At 41.9% G+C, this 24,397-nt stretch overlaps 3 annotated features.

Annotated features, from left to right (window-relative positions):
* Positions 3,308–3,452: an enhancer, noted in NCBI's record as "145 bp enhancer 186 fragment used in the MPRA reporter construct; PK_construct_1603". NCBI's record gives its function as "activates an SV40 promoter by MPRA in HepG2 cells {active_cell/tissue: HepG2}" and the evidence as "EXISTENCE:reporter gene assay evidence [ECO:0000049][PMID:23512712]".
* Positions 3,373–3,386: a transcriptional cis regulatory region, noted in NCBI's record as "HNF4 motif; enhancer activity is reduced when this motif is scrambled". NCBI's record gives its function as "necessary for full MPRA enhancer 186 activity {active_cell/tissue: HepG2}" and the evidence as "EXISTENCE:site-directed mutagenesis evidence [ECO:0005528][PMID:23512712]".
* Positions 4,719–4,828: an enhancer, noted in NCBI's record as "active region_18137". NCBI's record gives its function as "activates an Ori minimal core promoter by ATAC-STARR-seq in GM12878 lymphoblastoid cells {active_cell/tissue: GM12878}" and the evidence as "EXISTENCE:reporter gene assay evidence [ECO:0000049][PMID:35858748]".

Here is a 24,397-nt window from a genome sequence, read left to right as displayed (position 1 = left end):
TCAGTAACAAAGACACGTATTGTGGAGGCTAAAGCAGCGCCATCTTGGAAGCTAACCCGACATGTTGACTTCTGATTAACCCTAGTTCCCCAGAAGGCCTCCAAGATTTCCAGATTGTCTATTGTTCCTGTGTAAGAGCAGGTAGTTACTGTAAATTCTGCCCTGAGGTCAAACAATCTAGATGTTATTGCACTTCAATTGCCCTAAACATCCCTTTGTAGTCACCTTTCCCTATAACATAGAAGTTCTGGGTCAGGGGGATAATGACACAAGGATCCACCATCTTGTCTCACCACCACCCAAGACACAAACATGTTTTCTGTTTGTAAGTCCCTATGAAATGTTATTTTCCAAGAAAATCGTTGTGTCAGCCACTTTCTTTGGTCTTTTAGCTTCTTAGGACTTTTGGGGTAGGTTTGCGTAGACCTGCTCACCACAGAACACATATGTATAATTTAATCCTCACAACACTATGAGGTACTGACATGGTTTGGCTGTGTCCCCACCCAAATCTCATCTTGAATTGTAGCTCCTATAATCCCCATGTGTCGTGGGAGGGACCCGGTGGGAGGTAATTAAATCATGGGGTGGGTTTTTCTCATGCTGTTCTCATGATAGTGAATAAGTCTTACAAGATCTGATGGTTTTATAAAGGGCAGTTCCCCTGCACACATTCTCTTGCCTGCCACCATGTAATACGTGCCTTTGCCTTCCTTTGCCTTCCACCATGATTGTGAGTCCGTTAAACTTCTTTTTCTTTACACATTACCTAGTCTCTGTTATTTCATTATAGCGGTGTAAAAATTGACTAATACCTGTACATACTATTATTATCCCCATTTTACAGATGGAAAAACTAAGGGCTAGAGATATATTGTGACAGGCTCAAGCCCATATAGCTGCAAGTGGCAGCACCAGGATTTGAACCTCCATTGTCCATCACCAGAGCTCGTGTCTGTACCACCAGACTCTCCTCATCCTCATCGTAATGACTGACTTTCTCCCCACTGGACTGAGGGAGAGGACTGGGGTCTTCGCTACGCTAAAGTATATCTGCAGTTCCTACTGCAATGGTATCTGGCACAAAGAAGGCGCCAAATGCATTTTTGTTTATTGGCCTTGATGAAAGGAAGGAGGTGCTGGCAAAATATCAACGGATGCGTGATCTTTTAAAAAATGTTTTGAATCATTGCTAATTAAGCAGCTCAAGAATTGATTAAAGGGATGGAACATAGAGCCAAGAGGAAAAAATATGCAAGAATGGAACTTTAATGAATCCATTCAGAGGGGTGTGTGGGCAGAGAGTCACCACGGGATATGGTATCTGGCTTTTCCCAGAAAAACTAGTTCAATGACAAAACAAATGATCATAGTGACATTCTTTGCATTTTGATATTCTTAGATTGGTGGGCAAGAAGGAAACATTAGGAAAAAGAGAAAAACTACAGTCATTGCAACATGCTGGAAGGCATTGAATACACAGACCTTTGGCTAAACAGTTGTGGTCTTTATAATTTTAACATTCATTTGCTACTTCATTGACTATTTACTATGTCTTTAGTGTGTGTGCGTCAATGCTCTAGGGAACAAAACAAAGTTGCTGACCACCTGGAGTTTATAGATGAGCCACGCAGGCTGATATGGTAGCCACAGGCCTCAAGTGGCCACTGAGCACTTGAATGGGGCTGGTCGGGACTGAGATATGCTGTGAGAGTAAAACACACACTGGATTTCAAAGACTTAGTTCAAAAAATGAATAAAAAATATCTCATTAACAATTATTTTATGTTGATTACATGTTAAAATGATAATATTATGGACATACTGGGTTTAATGAAACACTACTATTATAATAAATATAATAGTATTCATTTTCTTTTTACCTTCTTTTTTTTTTTTGAAATGAGGTCTCACTCTGTCATCCAGGCCGGAGTGCAGTGGTATGATCACGGCTCACTGCAGCCTTGACCTCCCTGAGATCAAGCGATCCTCCCACATAAGCCTCCTGAGTAGCTGGGACTACAGGTGTGTACCATCATGCCCAGCTAGTATAATTTTTGTATTTTTAGTAGAGATGGAGTTTCATCATGTTCCCCAGGCTGGTCTCGAACTCCTGAGCTCAAGCTCTCTGCCTGCCTTGGCCTCCCAAAGTTCTGGGATGACAGGAGTGAGCCACCACGCCTGACCTCTTTTTACTTTCTTAATATGACTCCTAGAAAATTTTAAATTTCCTGTGTGGCTTGCATTATATTTCTGTTGGGTAGCACTGTCCTAGAGGTGTATAAGCTAGTAAATAATACATATATTAATATAATACTTCATAGTGATGAATGCTTTGAAGAAAGTGAACAGGACAAGAAAATGGAGCCATATGGGAGGTGAGGGCTCTGGCAGTATTTCATAAGGGGCTTCCATGGAAGTCTTTTCTGAAGAGGTAATATTTGATTATCCAAAGATGCAAGGTCGGGCATGGTGGCTCATGCCGGTAATCCCAGCATTTCGGGAGGCCAAGGTGGGCAGATCACCTGAGATCATGAGTTCAAGACCAGCCTGGCCAATATGGCAAAACCCCGTCTCTACTGAAAATACAAAAACTAGCTGAACATGGTGGCACATGCCTGTAATCCCAGCTACTTGGGAGGCTGAGGCACGAGAATCGCTTGAACCTGGGAGGCGGAGGTTGCAGTGAGCCAAGATCACGCCACTCTGGCCAAAAAAAAAAAAAAAAAAAAAATGCAGATAAATCTTGATTCCTAGAGAAATTGCTTAGACTCTGTTTTTTCATTGTGTCACCAGCTAAAATAGTCAACGAATAATCATAGAGAAACTGAGGGGGTTAAAAAATGTGGAAATAGTTTGTACCTTCTTCTGTGATGGCCTGACAGGCTTACAAGCCAGGAATAATTATTTTTCTCTTGTAAACAGTCAGCAAATGTTCAGAGAACCATCTTATTTAGGCACAAGTAATAAAAATCTTACAAATAGATTTTTCCTTCCCTGTAGCTATTTGTAGCTACATTATCCGTTTTTATTTATTTCTGATAAAACAACACCCATGTCTGATGATGGAGGGGGGTGGGGAAACCATAAGCAGAACTTCATGTTCCTCAAGGGTCTAGCTTAATTCCAAACAATAATTGTGTTTCCTGTCTCAGCAGGATAAATGTACAGCACAGGAAATTCTGTATAGAGTGGGCAGAGGCACTTTTCAAATTTCCCATATGAAGAGTATGCTATTATTGGAGTAGGGTAATTTGAGCACCTCTCACAAGTATAGTATAAAAAGTTAAACCCAGATTAGAGAGTTCTGCCCAGGGGAAACGAAAGTAAACAAAAATTGAAGCAGTGAACTGTTGAAACTCTAAATGCCGTTGAACTTTGAGCATGAAGAAGCCCTCCAAACAGCCCGTGCACACAGTCAGAGAGCTGTTGTTAACTCAGATTCTATCATTTACAGGTGCCCCATGTTCATGACATGTTAATTAGGCTTGACAATAAACTCAGCATTTGTTTCATATTAGAACAATGAGATTTTATACATGACTCAAGGGCTATATTTAGTGAATTCAAATCCAATAAAATAAATTATTTCAATGCTTCTACATTCATATTTGGGAACCCTAAGTATACCACAGATCATATCATGCTGTTGACACCAAACCTCACGCACCAAAACCTTGAAATAGACCAGATAACCTAAACTGTGGGAATTAGGACTGTTCCTACCACTTAAGAAAGAGTTCTCCTGCGTTTGCTATATTTCCAGAACTTGGCTTTACATGAATCAAAGACATGAGATCTCTTCCCCCATTCTCCACTTACTCCCCAAATGAAAAGAAAATGAAAGAAAGGCCAAAGAGTATTTTCTTTATTTTCTAAAATTATTTCCAACTTTTCCTAGTGACTCTTAAAAATAGAAATGTGGCCAGTGGCTTACTGGTCGGATCCTGAGCCGATGATTCATTGCCATGAGACGTTATTTCGTGAGACATTCTCTAAGGGAATCCAGGGAAAGAATTCTGTCCTAGTCACTCACATATTATGCTTTTAAGAATGAGGTGTGGCCAGAGTTCTCAGAGATCCTTGAAGAGAAAATTATTTTCATTGTTTTTTCTGTTTGTTAGCACTTTAAAACTTAAAAACAGTTGGGATAATTCTACTCACTGTGTGGGGGACAGCATGGTGTGTTTGAAGACGTGCCCGGAAGAGCACAAAAAGTGACTCTTTCTCTCCCCCATACCACACACTCAAATATATGTCACCTCTCTATCTCACTCACGATTCACGCATCTGCAAAAGTTCACAGATAGCAAATTGGCTCTCCAATCAAAATAACAATGCCAGTAAAGAAACCTCAAAGGGTCCAGAAACAAACATTCAAACAACAGGGTCCTACGAAAATTTCATTAGAGAGGAAATAGGTCCTTAGAACAGAACAAAACTAAACAGAAACTCTGAAGGAAGATGAGAAAGAATACTATGAATGTGGTTAGCTAGAAAGCTATTCAACAGCTTCCTTGCTTCCCTAATATCCAGCTGCAGGAATATGCCAAGGGGAGAAAAAAAAATCTTTCTTAGTCCTACTAAACGTAGGAAAAGTGCTATTCTGACTCCAAAGCTGAGCTGTAGATGGCAGTGAGTGGGTGGGAAGGGAATGTGAGCCGTCCCTAACAACAACAGAAAGCCTTCTGCTAGTATCCGTTCCCAAACTATAAACACTCAGAGACTCCTCGCCAAGCACATAATAAAAATTTCACCTCCCCCCCCAACCATGGTTTCCTGTAGTTTGTACTATTCAAATGCAAATTGTGATGAATATCAGCGTGGACTCTCCAACTTAAAGAACTCTGATTTTTTTTTTCATAAGTATCCAAAGCTTCCCACTGAGAAGAAAGCATCATTTAGGAGATACTCAACTGGTTGAGAAATATATGTGCTTATTTTAGAATTGGCACAAGAATATGTAAAATGATCCACTGATAATGATCACCCTAAGGGATGTCACACCCAAACGCCTATTTTTGCAAACAGAAAAGGAACAAATACAGCATTCTTTACTGAAAACTCTAAAGGAGATCCTGCACCATAAATTACAGACCTAATCTAAGAGTCAAGCAATGTTTACTCTAAAAGGTGACATTCCGAAATTTTCCTACAATCGGATTAGATGGAAGAGCACATTGTCTTTCTTTCACTTGGGAAGTAAGCCCTACCATAATTCTCTTTTAAGGGATGAATCATAGAGCCCCCACATCTGACAATGGATTAAGTCATTTGTTTTGTTTCTGGGATATATTCTACCCTTCACTACAACTGGGATCTACAATTTGTTCTAACATTTTCTGGCAATTTCTGATTTGTTCAGACAAAGACCAGAAGCTTAAGTCCCACGGAATTAACTGGTTGGATTATTACCAAGGTGGAACAGAGCCAGAAGGTTGAGAACATACACATCGTGTGCTCTTGGGACATAATATCTGCCTTCGCAAGGATGGTATCATTTCTCAGCCTCTCACCCACCAGTTAGCTCAACGAACTGGAAATGTTTTTCTTTCCTTTCCCTTTTTTTTCCCTAATTTTTTAACAGCAGGAACAGAATAAACTGGTAATAAATCAGGCAAGCAATATTTTTTTTTTTGCTTCTTGGAACATACTAGAAAATAATAGTAACTTATTTGTTACAACACTTATATCTCTACATTAACCAACAAGCCAAAAAGAAGATGAAAGAAAAAATTAAGAAGAGACAAAGAGGGAGGAGGATGGGGAGGAAGAAAGAAGGAGGGAGGGAGGGACAGAGGGAAGGAGGGAGGGAGGGAAGAGGGAGGGAAGAAGAAAGGAAGGGAGGAAATTTTCTGATTCTAAAAAATCAGAAGTCACCAAAGTAGCTTTCATATTCAACTAATTGAAGAGTATGTTTAAATAATATTCCATTTGCCTAGTACTTCACAGTTTCACATACATCAGCAATTGGTTGCCTGATATCATTTATCATCTTTTATACTGGAGGAAACCAATGATTTCAAAGATTAAATAATTTAAGAATGATCATGTACCTAGTACAATATTGAGCCAAAATAAAACTTGGTATTTCAGTCTGCTATGGTTTGAGTGTTCGTCACCTCCAAAACTCTTGTTGAAACTTAATTGCCGATGTGGCAGTATTGAGGGGTTGGACCTTTAAGAGGTGATTAGGTCACAAGGGCTCTGTCCTCATGAATGAATTAATTCTTTCATGGATTAATGGGCTAATGGGTTGTTATGGGAGTGGAACTGGTGTCTTTATAAGAAGAGGAAGAGAGACCTGAGCTAGAATGCTCAGCCTTTGTGCCATGTGATCATGTGATGCCCTGTGCAGCCTTGCGGCTCTGCAGAGGCCCCATCAGCAAGAAGCCTCTCACCAGATGACTCTCCTCAACCAGCTTCTAGAACTGTAAGGAGTAAATTTTGTTTCTTATAAATCACCCAGTTTCAAGGATTGTGTTACAAGCAATGAATCAGACACAGTCTTAGTTAATAGTTAATAGTAATAGTTAATAGTTTTCATCATGACACTAGAGAGCTTTCATTTATTCTGGTTCTGCTACGATACTTACATTAATCTCACATTTTCACAGGTATTTCCCAGTTTTTATGAACCCTCTCCCAAAATTATTTTGTGAGAAATTAAAGCACTGCACAACGTTGCAGCCACTGAAATTGTTCATAGTACAGATCGCATCTGTAGATCCATCTCCTTCTGCTTTGCTCAGAAAACACATTGACTTGGGTGGTGGGCCTGTCTTCCTACCCGGTTTCTCTTTTTTTCTTTTCTTTTCTTTTTTTCTTGAGACAGGGTCTCACTCTGTTGCCCAGGCTGGAGTGCAGTGGTATAATCACAGCACACTACAGGCTCTATCTCTTGGGCTCAAGCAATCCTCCTGCCTCAGCCTTCCAAGTAGCTCATCTACAGGCATGCACCACCACACCTGGCTATTTTTTTTTTTTTATTTTTAGTAGGCACAAGGTCTCACTATGTTGCCCCAGGCTGGTCTCCAACTCTTGAACTCAAGAGATCTTCCTGCCTCAGCCTCCCAAAGTGTTGGGACTCTAGGCATTAGCCATCCTGCCCTGTCTTGCCCAGCATCTCTACCCAAAGGAAAGTACTCCTGCTTCATAGAAGTGCTTCTTAATGGGGGCAATTTTGCCCACCAGAAGACATTTGGCAACATCTAGAGACATTTTTCGTTACCACAACTATGGGGAAAGGAGAGAGGTACTACTGGTATCTTAGTGGGTAGAGACCAGGGAGGTTGCTAAACATCCTATAATGCACAGGGCAGCCTCACAACAGACAATCATCCAGCCCAGAGTATCAATGTTGCCAGGGATGAAAAAGCCCACTCCGTGGGAAGCCTGCTGAAGTCACATGACCCTGTGGGCTTACCCTCTTCTGACCCCACAGCAAGGAGGGGCATGAGACCTAAGCCTAGGCACCTGAGATTCCCCCTGCCCCAGGACTTTGCCAGAGATATCAGAGAAATTATTCTTTTATTTATTTATTTAGAGATCAAAACTTTAAGGCTGACGTAAATCTGGTCCCACCAGGCTGAAAATGAAGATAGGGAGAAGGAAACAGAATCGACAGGGAAGGAGAGAGATCTGAAGACTGAATCAGGCCCTACGTCTTAGGCTTTTGAGCTAAATGGGCCTCTAAATTTCATTTCTGTAGGGGGATTTGTTGTAGAAGTTTTTCTTAAATTACTCTCAGTTGACTTCCATGATTTTCAAGCAAGAGTCCTGGCTAACACTGAAGCTGATGAGTGAGTGTTATTATTATAAGAACACACTAACTACATCTAACTAATATTTTGAAAAGCCTATCATTCATCAATGTCAGCATTTCGGCTACTACTAATAACAAATAATAATGCGGCTCATAGGTCACAAGTAAAATCTCTTACATGTTACGTGTACTTTTTAAATAAGGGATTATCAGAATCACTACTTATTTGTTTGTTTTAGCTAAACAGGAAGGAGACAGACAAGGTTTTGTGGCTCATAGACCAAATCAAAGACCCAGTACTTGAAATAACTTGAGGAGTTACAGATGCCAATTTGATCCCAATATCAGATCCCAAATGACAAGGCAATCAATTGATAGACAACCTGACATTCCGTAGGAGATTTGCCTGAGTCTTTGACTCACCTTGGACAATTGAAGTCCAGGACTTTTTTGTTGTTGTTGTTTTTTTTTCAATAGTTTTGGGGGCACAGGTGGTATTTGGTTACATGTATAAGTTATTTAGTGGTAATGTCTGAGATTTTGGTGCACCCATCACCCGAGCAGTCTACACTGTACCCAATGTGTCTTTCACCCCTCACCCCCTCCCACCCTTCCCCCGGAGTCCCCAATGTCCATCACATCATTCTTATGCCTTTGCATCCTCATAGCTTAGCTCTCACTTATAACTGAAGACATACGATGTTTGGTTTCCCCTTTCTGAGTTATGAAATCCAGGAGTTTGTTTATAAGGGACCTCTTCCAGACGGCATTTCAAGGAATCTTCACTAGTATGGTAAGAGGCACATTAAACTCAACATGTCCAGGAGGGTCAGGACAGGCTCTCTCTGAGTTGAGATGAAGCTGAGAGGCAGGGGAGACTGAGGCAGTGAGGGAATTCAGGTGGACAGCATACCAGAGAGCAAAATACTGCAGAGAGAGAGCTCCAGAGATCGGCAAAGGGCCCACCAGAGGTCTTCAGCTGAGCTCTGATTGGCACACACTAGCAACACCTACCTGAGGTTGTGCAAAGACCTGGATCCAGCTCTTTTTTTTTTTTCAGTTATTTATTATTTAACAAATTTTTATTATTTCTCATGATTCTGTGGGCTTCCTGGGCAACTCTGCTTCACAACAATGAACTCTGTCATATTTTCTTGAATTAGAGCATTGGATTAGAGGAACTAGTATTGGAGCTCACGCAGGCAGCCTGGACAATCTCACAATTCACAAGGCACTGGGCAGAGCCCTCAGAAGCATCTTGCCTCAGTAGTGGAGAATAATTAGCTCTGGACTAAACACTGCTCTGATCCCACTTAACACATCTTACACCCTAAAAGGATCAAACTATTTCCAAGGAACTTAACTGCATCCCAGAACAGAACTTGAGATAATTCACAGAAACATAATATCCTGCACCCAACAAAGTAAAATACATTCCTGGCAAACAATTTTTTATTAAAAATTATAATTTTTTAATAGACACAGGATCTAGCTATGTTGTCCAGGCTGTTCTCAAACTCCTAGCCTCAAGCCATCCTCCTGCCTCAGCCTCCCAAAGTGCTGGGATTATAGGCATGAGCCACCGTACCTGGCTGGCAAACAGTTCTTTAAAAATTACAAGACAATTGGCCTGGCGCGGTGGCTCACGCCGATAATCCCAGTACTTTGGGAGGCCGAGGCGGGTGGATCACAAAGTCAGGAGATTGAGACCATCCTGGCTAACATGGTGAAATCTCACCTCGACTAAAAATACAAAAAAAATTAGCTGGGCGTGGTGGCGGGCACCTGTAGTCCCAGCTACTCGGGAGACTGAGGCAGGAGAATGGCGTTAACCTGGGAGGCGGAGCTTGCAGTGAGCAGAGATCGAGCCACTGCACTCCAGCCTGGGCGACAGAGCAAGACTCGGCCTCTAAATAAATAAATAAATAAATAAATATAAAAAAATAAAAATTACCAGGCAAGCAAAGAAGGGAGACAATATGACTGAGCCAATACTCGCGAAGCACAGAATTGCCAGAAGCCTCCAGAATCATGAAAAATAATAAACCATTGATGTTTTAAGCCAGAAGTTTTGAAGTAGTTTGTTAAACAACAATAAATATCAGAAAAAGGACCATCTTTTCCCATTCAGATTGTTGTAACAGGCTCCAAACTAGTTTTCCTGATTCCATTCTTACCCCCAGTAAATACCTTAGTAGCGGCCAGGATGATCTTTTTAATGATCTAAGCCAGGTCATATAACTCCTGTGCTCCCATCCCTCCCATGGCTCCCTATTTCCCTCAGAGTAAATATAAACGTTCCTACAACCTGAGTGCCTCCAAGATCTGTCTCTTCACCTGCCCGCCTGAAGCATCTATTCCGTCTCATTTCCAGCCTCCTCCCCATGGCCCTTTGGGCTCCAGCCACTTGGTCTCATTCGCATTCCCTCAATGTGGCCCAAAGCCTGGCTCTGACTTCAGAGCTTTTGCCCTTGCTTGGAGCCACTTTGGGGGATGCTGTTCCCTCCAGTGCCTACCTGACTGTCTTTTTGTGGGGGAACAGGGTCTTGCTCTGTCCCCCAGACTAGAGTTCAGTGGTGCAATCATGGCTCACTGCAGCCTCGACCTCCTAGCTTGAGTCATCCTCCCACCTCAGCCTCCCAAGTAGCTGCTGGGACTACAGGTGCGCACCACCATGCCCAGCCAATTTCTTTTAATTTTTTGTAGAGTAGGGGTTCAAGTGATTTACCTTTGCCTCCCAAAGTGCTGGGATTATAGGCATGAGCCACCGCGCTGGGCCCCAGAGCTCCTTTTACCAGTAACTGACAATCTTGCTATAAGCAAGATTCCATTTGCTAAGGCTGAATCTGAAAAATTAAGAAAATGAACAACGCAACTAAAATCCAAAGCACCTGCAATGACCACAAAAACAAAACAAAATCAAACAAAACCAAGAACTTAAGTGTGGACTACAAAGGGGATTTTCTGGGGTGCTGAAATATTGTTTTGATCTAGCTGCCAATTACCCACACATGCTCAGTGTGATAATTTATTGGGTTGTATATTTATGATATGTACACATTTCTGAATGAGTATGATGCACAGTTAAAAGTTAAAATAGGCCGGGCGCAGTGGCCCACACCTGTGATCCCAGCACTTTGGGAGGCTGAGGCAGGTGGATCATTTGAGGTCAGGAGTTTAAGACCAGCCTGACCAACGTGGTGAAATCCAGATTCTACTAAAAATACCAAAAAAATTAGCCGGGTGTGGTGGTGCACACCTGTAGTCCCAGGTACTTGGGAGGCTGAGGCAGGAGAATCGCTTGAACTGGGAGGTGGAGGTTGCAGTGAGCCAAGATGGCACTACTACACTCCAGCCTGGGTGACAGAGGGAGACTCTGTCTCAAAAAAAAAAAAAAAAAAGTTAAAATATATAAAATGTTTTCCTAAATACTTTTAATTTAAAAGGAACATAGACTAGGGCTGGGCGCGGTGGTTCACACCTGTAATCTCAGCACTTTGGGAGGCCAAGGTGGGCGGATCGCCTGAGATCAGGAGTTTGAGACCAGCCTGGCCAACATGGTGAAACCCCATCTCTACTAAAAATACAAAAATTAGCCAGGTGTGGTGGCACATGCCTGTAATTCCAGCTACTCGGGAGGCTGGGGCACAAGAATTGCTTGAACCCAGGAGTTAGAGGTTGCAGTGAGCCGAGATCGTGCCATTACACTCCAGCCTGGGCGACAAGAGTGAGACTTCATCTCAACAAAAGGACATACACTGTGATCAATGTTTTCAAAAGAGTACGAGTCTGTTGCAATTGACCAGGCATCACTGACCATCCCATCTGATCGCTCCCATGAAATATCTGTCTTATGTTCAATGCTGTGCTGGGGATGGCACACCTCAAAGCAGGAATTAAGGAACTGTCTTCACCCTCAAAGCACTTTCCATTGGGCCAGGGCAAAACGAGTAACATAGTCAAATAAGCCAACAACAATGGAAATAACAAGAAAGTAATAATGTAAATTTTCATAAAGCTTTTTCCCAAGTACTATTTCATCTGGTAAACAGATGTGTTTAAACACCAAATTGAACTGTAATAAATAGTGAAAAATTGAAAACTGCCTAAATAATTTACGATGAAGGAATAACATATTGTAGCCCACCATAAAACAGAATACTAGATAGCTCTAAGAACTGGAGTAAAGAATATTTAATGAGGCTGGGTGCAGTGGCTCATGCCTGTAATCCCAGCACTTTGGGAGGCCAAGGCGGGTGGATCATGAGGTCAAGAGATCGAGACCATCCTGGCCAATATGGTGAAACCCCATCTCTACTAAAAATACAAAAAATTAGCCGGACGTGGTGGCAGGCACCTGTAATCCCAGCTACTTGGGAAGCTGAGGCAGGAGAATCACTTGAACCCAGGAGGCAGAGGTTGCAGTGAGCCAAGATCGTGCCATTGCACTCCAGCCTGAGCAAAAAGAGCAAAACTGTGTCTCAAAAAAAAAAAAAAAAGAAAGAAAGAATATTTAATGAAAGGTGCTCATAATGTCTTTGACTAAAACACAGAGAAAGTGGTTTCTTTTTTTTTAGACAGAGTTTTGCTCTTGTCACCCAAGCTGGAGTGCAATGGCATGACCACGGCTCACTGCGACCTCTGCCTCCCAGGTTTGAGCAATTCTCCTGCCTCAGCCTTCCAAGTAGCTGGGATTACAGGTGCCTGCCACCACGTCCGGCTAATTTTTTGTATTTTTAGTAGAGATGGGGTTTCACCATGTTGGCCAGGCTGGTCTTGAACTACCAATCTCAGGTGATCCACCTGCCTCAGCCTCCCCAAGTGCTGGGATTACAGGCATGAGGCACTGCACTTGGCCAAATGGTTGTTATAATATGATCTCATATACAGTCATCCCTTGGTATCCATGGAGATTGCTTCCAGGAATCCTCCAAGGATACCAAAATCCATGGATGCTCAATTATCTGATATAAAATGGTATGGTGTTCGCATATAACTTACATACATCCTCCTGTATACTTTAAATAATCTCTAGGGAGACCTGGAGTGGAGCAAGATGGAGGAATAGAATGCTACACTCATCATCCCCGCACAAGGACACCAATTTAACAACTATCTGCACAAAATTTAAAAAACAGCTTCATAAGAACCAAAAATCAGGTACCAGCTCAGCAACAGTGGCATAGGTCACCAAGTGGGCTCTTGGGATTCCTGATTCCAGGTCTTGGCTCTTGGACAACATTTCTGTACCTGACCTGGGTGAGAGGAGAGGGGAGCCCACTGCCCTGAAGGGAGAGTCCCTGGCCAGGCAGCATTTACCACAAGCTGACCCAAGAGCCCTTGGGCCCTAAGGGAACACAATGCCAATCTGGCAGTACTCCCTGTGGGTCCGTGGAGTTGGCGGCCATGTGGTAAGGCTCCTCTGCCTTTGGAAAGGAGAGGGAAAAGTGGGAAGGACTGCATCTTGTGGTGAAGTGCCAGCTCAGCTGCAGTACGATAGAACAACAGGTAGACTTCTAAGGTTTTCAACTCTAGTCCCTGGCTCCCGAACAGCACCTGTGGACATGCCCGGGGCCTGGGGCTACTTGCCACACTGAAGGGAAGGATAAAAGCCTGGCTGGCTTTGCCATCTGCTGATTATCGAGCCCCAGGGCCTTGAGTGAACATAAGCCTTAGCCAGGGACTTTTTACAGCAGGTCTTGGGCAAGACCCAGTGCTATGCTGGCTTCAGGCCTGGCCCAGTGCAGTCCTAGCGGTGGTGGCCACAGGGATGCTTGTATCAGCCTATGCACAGCTCCAGGTGGCTCAAAACAGACAGAAAGTTTCCATTTGTTTGGGAAAAGGTAAGAGAAGAGAATTAGAATCTCTGCCTGGTAATCCAGAGAATTCTACTGAATCTTGTCTAAGACCATCAAGGCGATACCTCTACAAATCTGCAAGAACCACAGAATTACTGAGCTTTGGGCCCCCTAAAGCAGACACAACCTATATCACAAGACCCAAGTCCTTTTGAATATCTAGAAAGCCTTCCCAAGGACAAGCACAAACAAGCCCAGTCTGTAAAGACTACAATAAATATCTAACTCTTCAATGCCCAGACACCTAAGAACATCTATAAGCATCAATACCATCCAGACAAACATGGCCTCACCAAATGAACTAAATAACGCACCCAGGACCAATCCTGAAGAAACAGAGATATGTGACCTTTCAGACAGAGAATTCAAAATAGCTGTTTTGAGGAAACTCAAAGAAATTCAAGATAAGAAAGGGAAGGATGCCAGGCATAGTGGCTCATGCCTGTAATCCCAGCACTTTGGGAGGCCAAGGCAGGAGGATCGCTTGAGCCCAGGGCTTTGAGACCAGCCTGGGCAAAATAGGGAAACTCTGTCTCTATAAAACATTTAAAAATTAGGCAGGCGTGGTGGTTTACAACTCTAGTCCCAGCTGCTTAGGAGGCTGAGGTGGAAGGATCGCTTGAGCCTGGGAGGTCAAGGCTACAGTGAGCCATAATTGCACCACTGCACTTTAGCCTGGACAACAGAGTGAGACACTGTCTCAAAAACAAAAACAAAAAAGAGAAAGAATTCAAAATTCTATTAGGTAAATTTAACAAAGATAATTGAAATAATTAGAAAGGATCATGCAGGAATTCTGGATCTGAAGAATGCAACTGACATACTGAAGAATGCATCAGAGTCTTTTAACAGCAGAATTGATTAAGAGAAGAAAGAATTAGTGATCTTGAAGGCAGGCTATTTGAAAATACACATCAGAGGAGCCAAAAAAAAAAGAATAAAAAACAACAAAGCATGACTACAAGATCTAGAAAATAGCCTCAAAAGGACAAGTCTGAGTTATTGGCCTTAAAGAGGAGGTAGAGAAAGAGATAGGGGTAAAAAGTTTATTCAAAGGGATAATAACAGAGAGCTTATCAAACCTAGAGAAAGATATCAATATCCTGCCACAAGAAGGTTATAGACCACCAAGCCAACTTAACCCAAAGAAAACTACCTCAAGGCATTTAATCATTAAACTCCCAAATGTCAAGGATAAGTAAGAAATGTTAAAAAGCAGCACAAGAAAAGAAGCAAATATACAATTGAGTTCCAATACCTTTGGCAGCAGACTTTTTAGTGGAAACCTTACAGGCCAGGAGACAGTGGCATGATATATTAAAGTGCTGAAGGAAAAACCTTTTACTCTAGAATAGTATATCCAGGAAAAATATCCTTCAAACATGAAGGAGAAATAAAGACTTTCCCAGACAAATAAAAGCTGAAGGATTTCCTCAACACCAGACCTTCCCTACAAGAAATGCTAATGGGAGTACTTCCATCAGAAAGAAAAGGGTGTTAATGCGCAATGAGAAAGCATCTGAAGGTACAAAACTCACTGGTAAGTACACAAAAAACACAGAATATTATAACACTGTAATTGTGGTATGTAAACTACTCTTATGCCAAGTAGGAAGGCTAAACAATGAACCAATCAAAAATAATAAGTACAACAACTTTTCAAGACACAGACTCTACAATAAGATAAATGGAAACAACAAAAAGTTAAAAAGAAAAGTGGAAAAAGTTAAGGTGTGGAGTCTTTATTAGTTCTCTTTTTGTTTGTTTATGCAAACAGTGATAAATTGTTTTCAGCTTAAAATAATGGGTTATAAGATAGTATTAGCAAGCCTCATGATAAGTTCAAACCAAAAAACATACAATGAATACACAAAAAATAAAAAGCAAGACACTAAATCATATCACCAAAGAAAATCACCTTCATTAAAAAAAAAAAAAGACAAGCATGAAAGAAAAAGAAAAACCACAGAACAACCAGAAAACAAAGAACAAAATGCCAGGAGTAAGTTCTTACCTATCAACTAAAAAAAAAAAAAAAAAAAAAAAGACCTAATGATCTGCTACCTAATGATCTGTTACCTATAAGAGACACACTTAACCTCCAAAGACACACATAGAGCTGGGCGTGGTGGCTCAGGCCTATAATCCCAGCACTTTGGGAGGCAGAGGCAGGCAGATCTCCTGAGGTCAGGAGTTCGAGACCAGCCTGGCCAAATTGGTGAAACCTTGTCTCTACTAAAAATACAAAAACTTTGCCAGGCATGGTGGCGGCGCCTGTAATCCTAGCTACTCAGGAGGCTGAGGAAGGAGAATCGGTTGAACCCAGGAGGCTGAGGTTGCAGTGAGCCGAGATCACACCACTGCACTCCAGCCTGGGCAACAGAGCGAGACTTCATCTCAAAAAAATTAAAAACAAATAAATAAATAAAAAGACACACCCAGAATAAAAATAAAGAGGTGGAGAAAGATATTGCATGCCAATTGAAACCAAAAAAAGTATAGGAGTAGCTATACTTATATCAGACAAAATAGATTTCAAGTGAAAAAGTATAAGAAGAGACAAAGAAAGTCACTGTATAATGATAAAGGGATCAATCCCAGCAAGAAGATATAACAATTGTAAATATATATGTACTTAACACTGGAACACCCAAATACATAAAACAAATATTATTAGAGCTAAAGAGAGAGCTAAGCCCCAATACGATAATAGCTGGAGACTTCGGCACTCTATTCTCAGCATTGTACAGATCTTACAGACTTTATCTGCACTGTAGTCCAAATGGACCTAATAGATATTTACAGAACAGTTTATTCAACAGCTGCAGAATACACATTCTTTTCCTCAGCGCATAGATTATCCTCAAGGATAAACCATATGTTAGATCACAAAACAAGTCTTAAAACATCCAAAAAACATTGAAATAATATCAGTCGTCTTCTCTGACCACAATGGTATAAAACTAGAAACCAATAACAAGAGGAGTTTGGGAAACTATACAAATACATGGAAATTAAACAATAAGCTCCTGAATGACCAATGGGTCAATGAAGAAATGAAGAAGGAAATTGAAATATTTCTTGAACCAAATGATAATGAAAACACAACATACCAAAACCTATGGGATACAGCAAAAGCAGTACTAAGAGGGACTTTTATAAGTGCCTACATCAGAAAAAGAAGAAAAACTTCAAATAACCTAATGAGGCTGGGCATGGTGGCTTATACCTGTAATCCTAGCACTTTGGGAGGCCTAGGCGGGCAGATCACTTGAGGTCAGGAGTTAGAGAGCAGCCTGGCCAACATGGTGAAATTCTGTCTCTACTAAAAATACAAAAATTAGCCGGGCGTTGTGGCAGGAGCCTGTAATCTCAGCTACTCAAGAGGCTAAGTCAGGAGAATTGCTTGAACCTGGGAGGTGAAGGTTGCAGTGAGCCAAGATCGTACCACTGCACTTCAGCCTAGGCGACAGAGCGAGACTCCATCTCAAAAACAAACAACAAACAAAAAACCTAATGATGCATCTTAAAGAACTAGAAAAGCAAGAGCAATCAAACCCAAAATTAGTAGAAAAAAAGAAATAATAAAGATCAGAGCAGAAATAAATAAAATTGAAGTGTTGAAAACAATACAAAAGATGAATGACATAAAAAAATTGACTCTTTGAAAAGCTAACAAAATTGACAAACCTCTAGCCAGATTAAGAAAAAGAGAAGATCCAAATAAGCAAAATTAGACGCAAAAAGCAACATTACAACTGATGCTGCCGAAATTCAAAGGATCATTAGTGGCTACTGTGAGCAACTATGTGCCAATAAGTTGAAAAATGTAGAAGAAATGGACAAATTCCTAGACACATACAACCTACCAAGATTGAACTACGAGCAAAACCAAAACCTGAACAGACCAATAACAAGCAATGAGATCAAAGTCATAATAAAAAATAATAAAAAATTTACTCCCAGTAAAGAAAAGCCCAGGACCCAATGGCTTTACTGCTGAATTTGACAAAACAGTTAAAGAACTAATGCCAATCCTACTCAAGCTATTCCAAAAAATAAAAAAGGAAGGAATCCTTCCAATCTCATTCTATGAGGCCAGTATTACCCTGAAACCAAAACCAAAGACATACCAGAAAAAAGGAAACTACAGGTCACTATCTCTGATGAATATTGATGCCAAAATTCTCAACAAAATACTAGTGAACCAAATTCAACAAAATATTAAAAAGATAATTCATCATGACCAAGTGGAATTTATCCCTGGAATGCAAGATGGCTCAACATACACAAATCAATGTGACAAATCACATCAACAGAATGAAGGACAAAAATTATATGATCATTTTAATTGATGCTGAAAAAGTATTTGACAAAATTCAACAACCCTTCATGATTAAAAAAAAAAAAGCCTCAAAAAAAAGGGGGATAGAAGGAACATAAGTCAACATAATAAAAGCCATATATGACAGACCCACAGTTAGTATTATACGGAGTGGGGAAAAATGGAAAGCCTTTCCTCTAAGATCTGGATCATGACCAGGATGTCCACTTTCACCACTGTTACTCAACATAGTACTGGAAGTCCTAGCTACAGCAATCAGCCATCAAATGTATGTAACACACATCCTATGTTTTAGCACTAAAATCGGGTGGAATTTGGTTCTTTACATCAAAAGGTAAACTAAAGGACATGACAGTTTGTGCACAGCCTCTACAAGCTGACTGAAACTGGTTAAAAATCTGCAGCAACTTATCAGAAAAGAATTTTGTTGAGGTCTTTGTTCAATCAGAGCTGTAGTCATCTGGGTTATAAATCAAAGTTAGGAGAGATCTGGTAATGCCTATTGTTAGGAACTTTAGCAGTTGTGGTTTTTCTTGCAGCCATAGGATTTTAGAAACGTGCCATGCCAGCCAGGCCCTGAGCCCTCCACTCATAGGTAACTTTGTTTCCTTAATCTTTGCGTTCATCTTAGTCAATATAGGGGTTTCTATTTTGTTCTCTCAGATCACACCTCTTTTGTGGAGGAAAACACATTCTCAACCACTTCAGATGGCTCTGCTTTTTCTCACCCATGAAATCGCATGCATGCATGCGTAAACCTTCCTGCACATCTACAAACACTTTCTTAATGTTCTCTGCCTATTGACTCTATTGATGTTAATTTCAGTATCCCACTGCACATCAAATATTTGCAAAACTAAACAAGACATCTGTTTGCAAGTCTTTTTTTGTTTTGTTTTGTTTTTAGACAGAGTCTTGCTCTGTTGCCCAGGCTGGAGTGCAGTGGCTCGATCTCGGTTCACTGCAAGCTCCGCCTCCCGTGTTCACGCCATTCTCCTGCCTCAGCCTCCCGAGTACTTGGGACTACAGGCGCCCGCCACCAAGCCCGGGTAATTTTTTTGTATTTTTTTTTTTTGGAAGAGACGGGGTTTCACCGTGTTAGCCAGGATGGTCTCGATCTCCTGACCTCGTGATCCACCTGCCTCAGCCTCCCAAAATGCTAGGATTACAGGCATGAGCCACCACACCCAGCCTGCATGCCTTTTAAGTAAAAGTGGTAATGAGAACTGCAGAAGAAATGTCTGTGCAAAGCAATGTGGTTGAAACTCTGGTTTCTGTGCACCAGCAACTGGGTGCAATACTTGTAGAATCTGGGTATCGTATAGAAAGTCTAAGCACAATAGTAATGAGTAATATTATTCCTGTTTCTCTAGCTCTTTGCTGGAATGAACTCCAGCCAGCACCCACAATACTGGGAGTCACAGTGATGTTTGTCATTTGCATGATTCTTGAGAGACAGCAAAGCCCATGATCTAGGTTCTAAGGTATCCCAGTGAAGAAGCATGTTCCCAGGTCAATCCTTTACTCTCCCACCCTAACCTGTCTCATGGAATGTAAAGACACATACGTCCCATGCTCAGGTTCTATAGTAAGTAAAAATCACACAGATTTGCTCATTAATTCAGTGAGTGCGTATTGAGCACATCATGCCACGCACTTATGCTAGACATTGAGGATATATTTTGGCTCATCATAACATGGCCAGCTGCCTTCATGTAGTTCACAGACCAGTGGTGGAGACTGACAGATTATGTCTTAGTTCGTTTTGTGTTGCTATAACAAATACAACAGAGGAGGTAATTGATAAAGAAAAGAAATTTGTTTGGCTCTTGGCTCTGGAGCCAAGATTTAAGGCTCTGGCAAGAGCCCTCTTGCTGTGTCATCTCATAGTGGAAGCCAAAAAGGCAAAAAAGTATGAGCCAGCAAGAGCGGCCAAACTCATTTGATAACTAACCCACTCCCACAATTACACCATTAATCCGTTCATGAGGGCAGAGCCCTCATTTGACCTAATCTTCTTGTTTAGGCCCTGCCTCTCAATGCTGTTGCACCGGGGATTAAGTTTCCAACATACGAACTTTGGGGGACACATTCAATCCATAGCAGGTGTTATCCAATCAGTACAATGAAGTGTGATCAGGTGATGACAGGGGATGGGGGTACAGAGACAGCTGCCCAGAAAGGGGGGCCCCAGGACCCCCAGAGTAAAGAAGCTAGATTCCCACGGTACCTACCAGGATTCAGCAAGGAAAGCAGGTTAGGCTGTTCAAAGACCTGACAAGCAGAGAGAAAATGGTGAGAGAAGAAGGCCAGAAAGGAAAACCTTTAGGCCTGGCGCGGTGGCTCACGCCCGTAATCCCAGCACTTTGGGAGGCTGAGGCGGGTGGATCACGAGGTCAGGAGATCGAGACCATCCTGGCGAACACTGTGAAACCCCGTCTCTACTAAAAATACAAAAACATTAGCCAGGCGTGGTAGTGCGTGCCTGTAGTCCCAGGTACTCGGGAGGCTGAGGCAGGAGAATGGCATGAACCCAGGGGGCGGAGCTTGCAGTGAGCAGAGATCTCGCCACTGCACTCCAGCCTGGGCAACAGAGCGAGACTCCATCTCAAAAAAAAAAAAAAAGAAAACCTTTCAAAACGTGTGGACCTTGTGTTTCAGTTAAAGAGAGTGAGGGCTGTGGGAGCTGCCCAAAACCCAAAAGCCGGATTCCAAGGCATGAGATGGTCAGACAGTGGAGAATGGCCTGGAAGGAGAGAAAAAACAGCCCCCCAGCAGAATGTGCAATAAGACAGAACATTTGGGACTTTTAAAAGTATATAAATACAAATGTATATCAACATAAATGTCAAAATGTTAACAGTACCGTAGATTGCATTACAGTTAATTTTCATCTTTGTCTTTTTTAATTTAACCATATGTTTCTGATTTGTTTTTCTTTTTCTTTTTCTTTTTTTTTTTGAGACAGAGTCTCACTCTGTCACCCAGGCTGGAGTGCAGTGGCATGATCTCGGCTCACTGCAACCTCTGCTTCCTGGGATCAAGCTATTCTCCTGCCTCAGCATCCCAAATAGCTGGGACTACAGGTGTGCGCCACCATGCCTGGCTAATATTTTGTATTTTTTGGTAGCGATGGAGATTTCCCCGTGTTGGCCAGGCTAGTCTCGAACTTCTGGCCTCAAGTGATCTGCCCACCTCAGCCTCCCAAAGTGCTGGGTTTACAGTTGTGAGCCACTGCTCTCAACCTCTGATTTTTTTTTTTTTTTTTGAGACAGATCTTACTCTGCCTCCCAGGCTGGAGTGCAGTGGCATGATCTCAGCTCTCTGCAACCTCCGCCTCCTGGGTTCAAGCAATTTTCTGCCTTAGCCTCCCGAGTAGCTGGGATTACAGGTGCGTGCCACCACACCCTGCTAATTTTTTGTATTTTTAGTAGAGACGGGGTTTCACCATCTTGGCCAGGCTGGTCTTGAATTCCTGACTTCATGATCCACCCGCCTCGGCCTCCCAAAGTGCTGGGATTACAGGCATGAGCCATCGCGCCCAGTCAGGATCTCTGATTTTTCTAATGGTAAATAATTATTCACAGGATTGGGGAAATTTTTTGGACTAGTTTTAATGTGGTTGGAGCAGGACTGTTGCTGGATTGTTGAGGGGAATGACAGACCTTTAAAGGGCAATCCTCCTCCTTGGTTATATATTATAGAACTATGCTGTCAAGAGTTTAAGATGTTCTTCTCATTGCAGATACCTTAACAGTAACTGTGAATTGTCCTACCAGGCCTCAGGCATTTCATATGGATTAACTCAATTCTGCTCAACAGTTCTACTGGATTGGATAATCATTCCCATTTTACTGATGAGAAATCTGAGGCCTGAAAAGGCCTAGGTTGTGTAGCCAATTGTTAGAAGTGCCATTCACTGTGACACAAATTTCTGTTGACAGTGACCTGATATTAATTTCTCTTTTTGCCATCTTTAGTTTTCATCCTAGCTTCTTCTCTCCATCTCCATCTAAGTGTGTCTTTGCACATGTAAGCAGGTGTGCTCATGGACCCTGCAGTGGAAAGACTGTGGGCCTCCTTCCTGATCTTCACGTTCCAATAAGATTTTTTTTTTTTTTTTTGAGACAGAGTCTCTCTCTGTCACCCAGGCTGGAGTACAATGGTGTGATCTTGGCTCACTGCAACCTCTGCCTCCCGGGTTCAAGCAATTTTCCTGCCTCAGCCTCCTGTTAACCTGGGATTACAGGCACCTGCCACCACGCCCAGCTAATTTTTTGTGTTTTTAATAGAGACGGAGTTTCGCCATGTTGGCCAGGCTGGTCTCAAACTCCTGCCCTCAGGTGATCCAGGCTCCTCAGCCTCCCAAAGTGCTGGGATTATAGGCATGAGCCACCGTCCCAGCTCAATAAGATTTAGAAAGCCAGTAGGATGGTGGTTTCAGGGCCTTATGGAAATGAATTGGAATCGCAGCACCTCCTCTGATTTGCTGTGTGAAACTTGGCAGGTCATTAGCCTCTGAGTCTCAGATTCCCCATCTGTAAAATGAGGGGGATAAAAGTGCCTGTGGCATAGCCCTCTTGGGAAAATTGCAGGACATCAAGTATAAAAAGCCTTTAGTATGTTGCTTTGCTCTCATAAATGCCATCTATTACTATTACTGTTTTATTTTTATGAAAAAAAAGACTCCAAGAGAAAGTTTGATAACAGACTCATTAAGACTAAAAGAGTTTATACCATTTGACCCAAGAATTCTAGGGTTGGAAACCTGTGAATATACTCAAATATAGCAAATATAGCCAACATCAAGAGCTGTGACCAGGAAGACCACACTGGTAGTTAAAATATAGGACGGTTTCCATACTGGTTGGTCAAGAGCTGCCCTTCAATGCCTCTCCCTGGAATCATCTAGGGCTTCCTAGGATCCAGCAACTAACTAAAGGGTTAACACGCAGCTTTATAGTGGATCTCTCTACCCCTGCTTCTTGGACCACACCTAACTATTTGGAAGCTGCCTCCCACCCTCATCTCCTTCACAAGCACCAGGAACTTATTTGTGTGGCTTCATGCACTTTTTTTTTTTTTTTTTTTTTGAGACAGGGTCTCACTCTGTTTCCCAGACTGAAGTGCAGTGGCACGATCTGAGCTTACTGCAACCTTGATCTTCTAAGCTCCTTCCACCTCAGCCTCCCTAGTAGCTAAGACTATAGGCGCACCCCACCATGCCCAACTAATTTTTTTTTTGTATGTGTATTTTTGTAGAGACAGGGTTTCACCATGTTGCCCAGGCTGGTTTCAAACTCCTGGGCTCAAGCAATCCACTAACCTCAGCCTCCCAAAGTGCTGGGATTATGTATTCTTTTTATGGCATAAATCTGTTTGCAATCTAAATGCTTCATAATGGAAGACTAGTTAAATAAATTATGACACGTTCTTCCTGTTGAATATTACACAGCCTTATAAAAAAGAATGAGTTAGCACTAATATGTAGGCATTAAAGACAGATAGGATATATTATTTAGCAACAAAGGGCAAGTCACAAAAGCATATGTATTGTATAATCTCATTGTGCGAAGTAAATTGAACAGACATTTATGGGTGACTATATCTATATAAAACACATTGTACTTAGTTTTTGACTTATTTTTTATTATTTAGAGAGACTAAACATTAGCAGAACAAAGACTACATCTATACATATAGCTTGCTTGTGTGTAGAACATTTCTGTCTACATTTGATAGGTATTGTTATTTTAGATATTGTTACTTCTGGGGTGTGGAGCTGGAATGCAGGTGATGAATGTTCAGACAGTTTTTTTTTCTTTTTTCAACTTTTACTTTAGAATCAGGGAGTACGTGTGCAGGTTCAGACAACTTTTATGTCTCACTTTTTACTTCTGTCCTGTTGAAAATGTTTGGCCCTGAGTATGTGCTGCTAGTATTACTACGTTGCTGTTGTTGCTTTGTAGTGGACAGACTCTGAAAAGACTGTCGAATATTCTGGCCATTAAGAAGGAACAACTTGGCAAGAGTGGCCACCCAGAACCTGGGTGGATGGCCTGCAGCCTACCTCCCCAGTCCTGAGACACTGAGTGCTTGCAACGTGCATGGGAAATGCAGGGTTAATACCCCTTCCCAGGCAGCCTGCTGCCATTGCCTGCAATCCTGTAATTAGGCTAATTACACAGTAGTTTCACAAGTAGGGTGGAAATGTAATTGGCAGCAGGCACCTGAGCTCTCAAAGGTAGAACCTAGAAGGCAGCAGCCTCTGGAGGAGGTGGAGGAGGCAGATGAGGAGAGGAGCTAATTGTGGGGGCTTTATCTAAAAGGATTCTCTCTCCAGACTTCAGAGACTATTCCCAGCAAAGTGGCCCCACTGTGCATTCAAAGGACTGCAACCATGAATGAATCAGTGTAGAAAAGGGGTAA

This window comes from Homo sapiens, chromosome 20 (assembly GCF_000001405.40).
Source record: "Homo sapiens chromosome 20, GRCh38.p14 Primary Assembly".
NCBI lineage: Eukaryota > Metazoa > Chordata > Mammalia > Primates > Hominidae > Homo > Homo sapiens.
The sequence above is the reverse complement of the archived record's forward strand: the minus strand, read 5'-3'. Positions and strand labels throughout refer to the sequence as shown.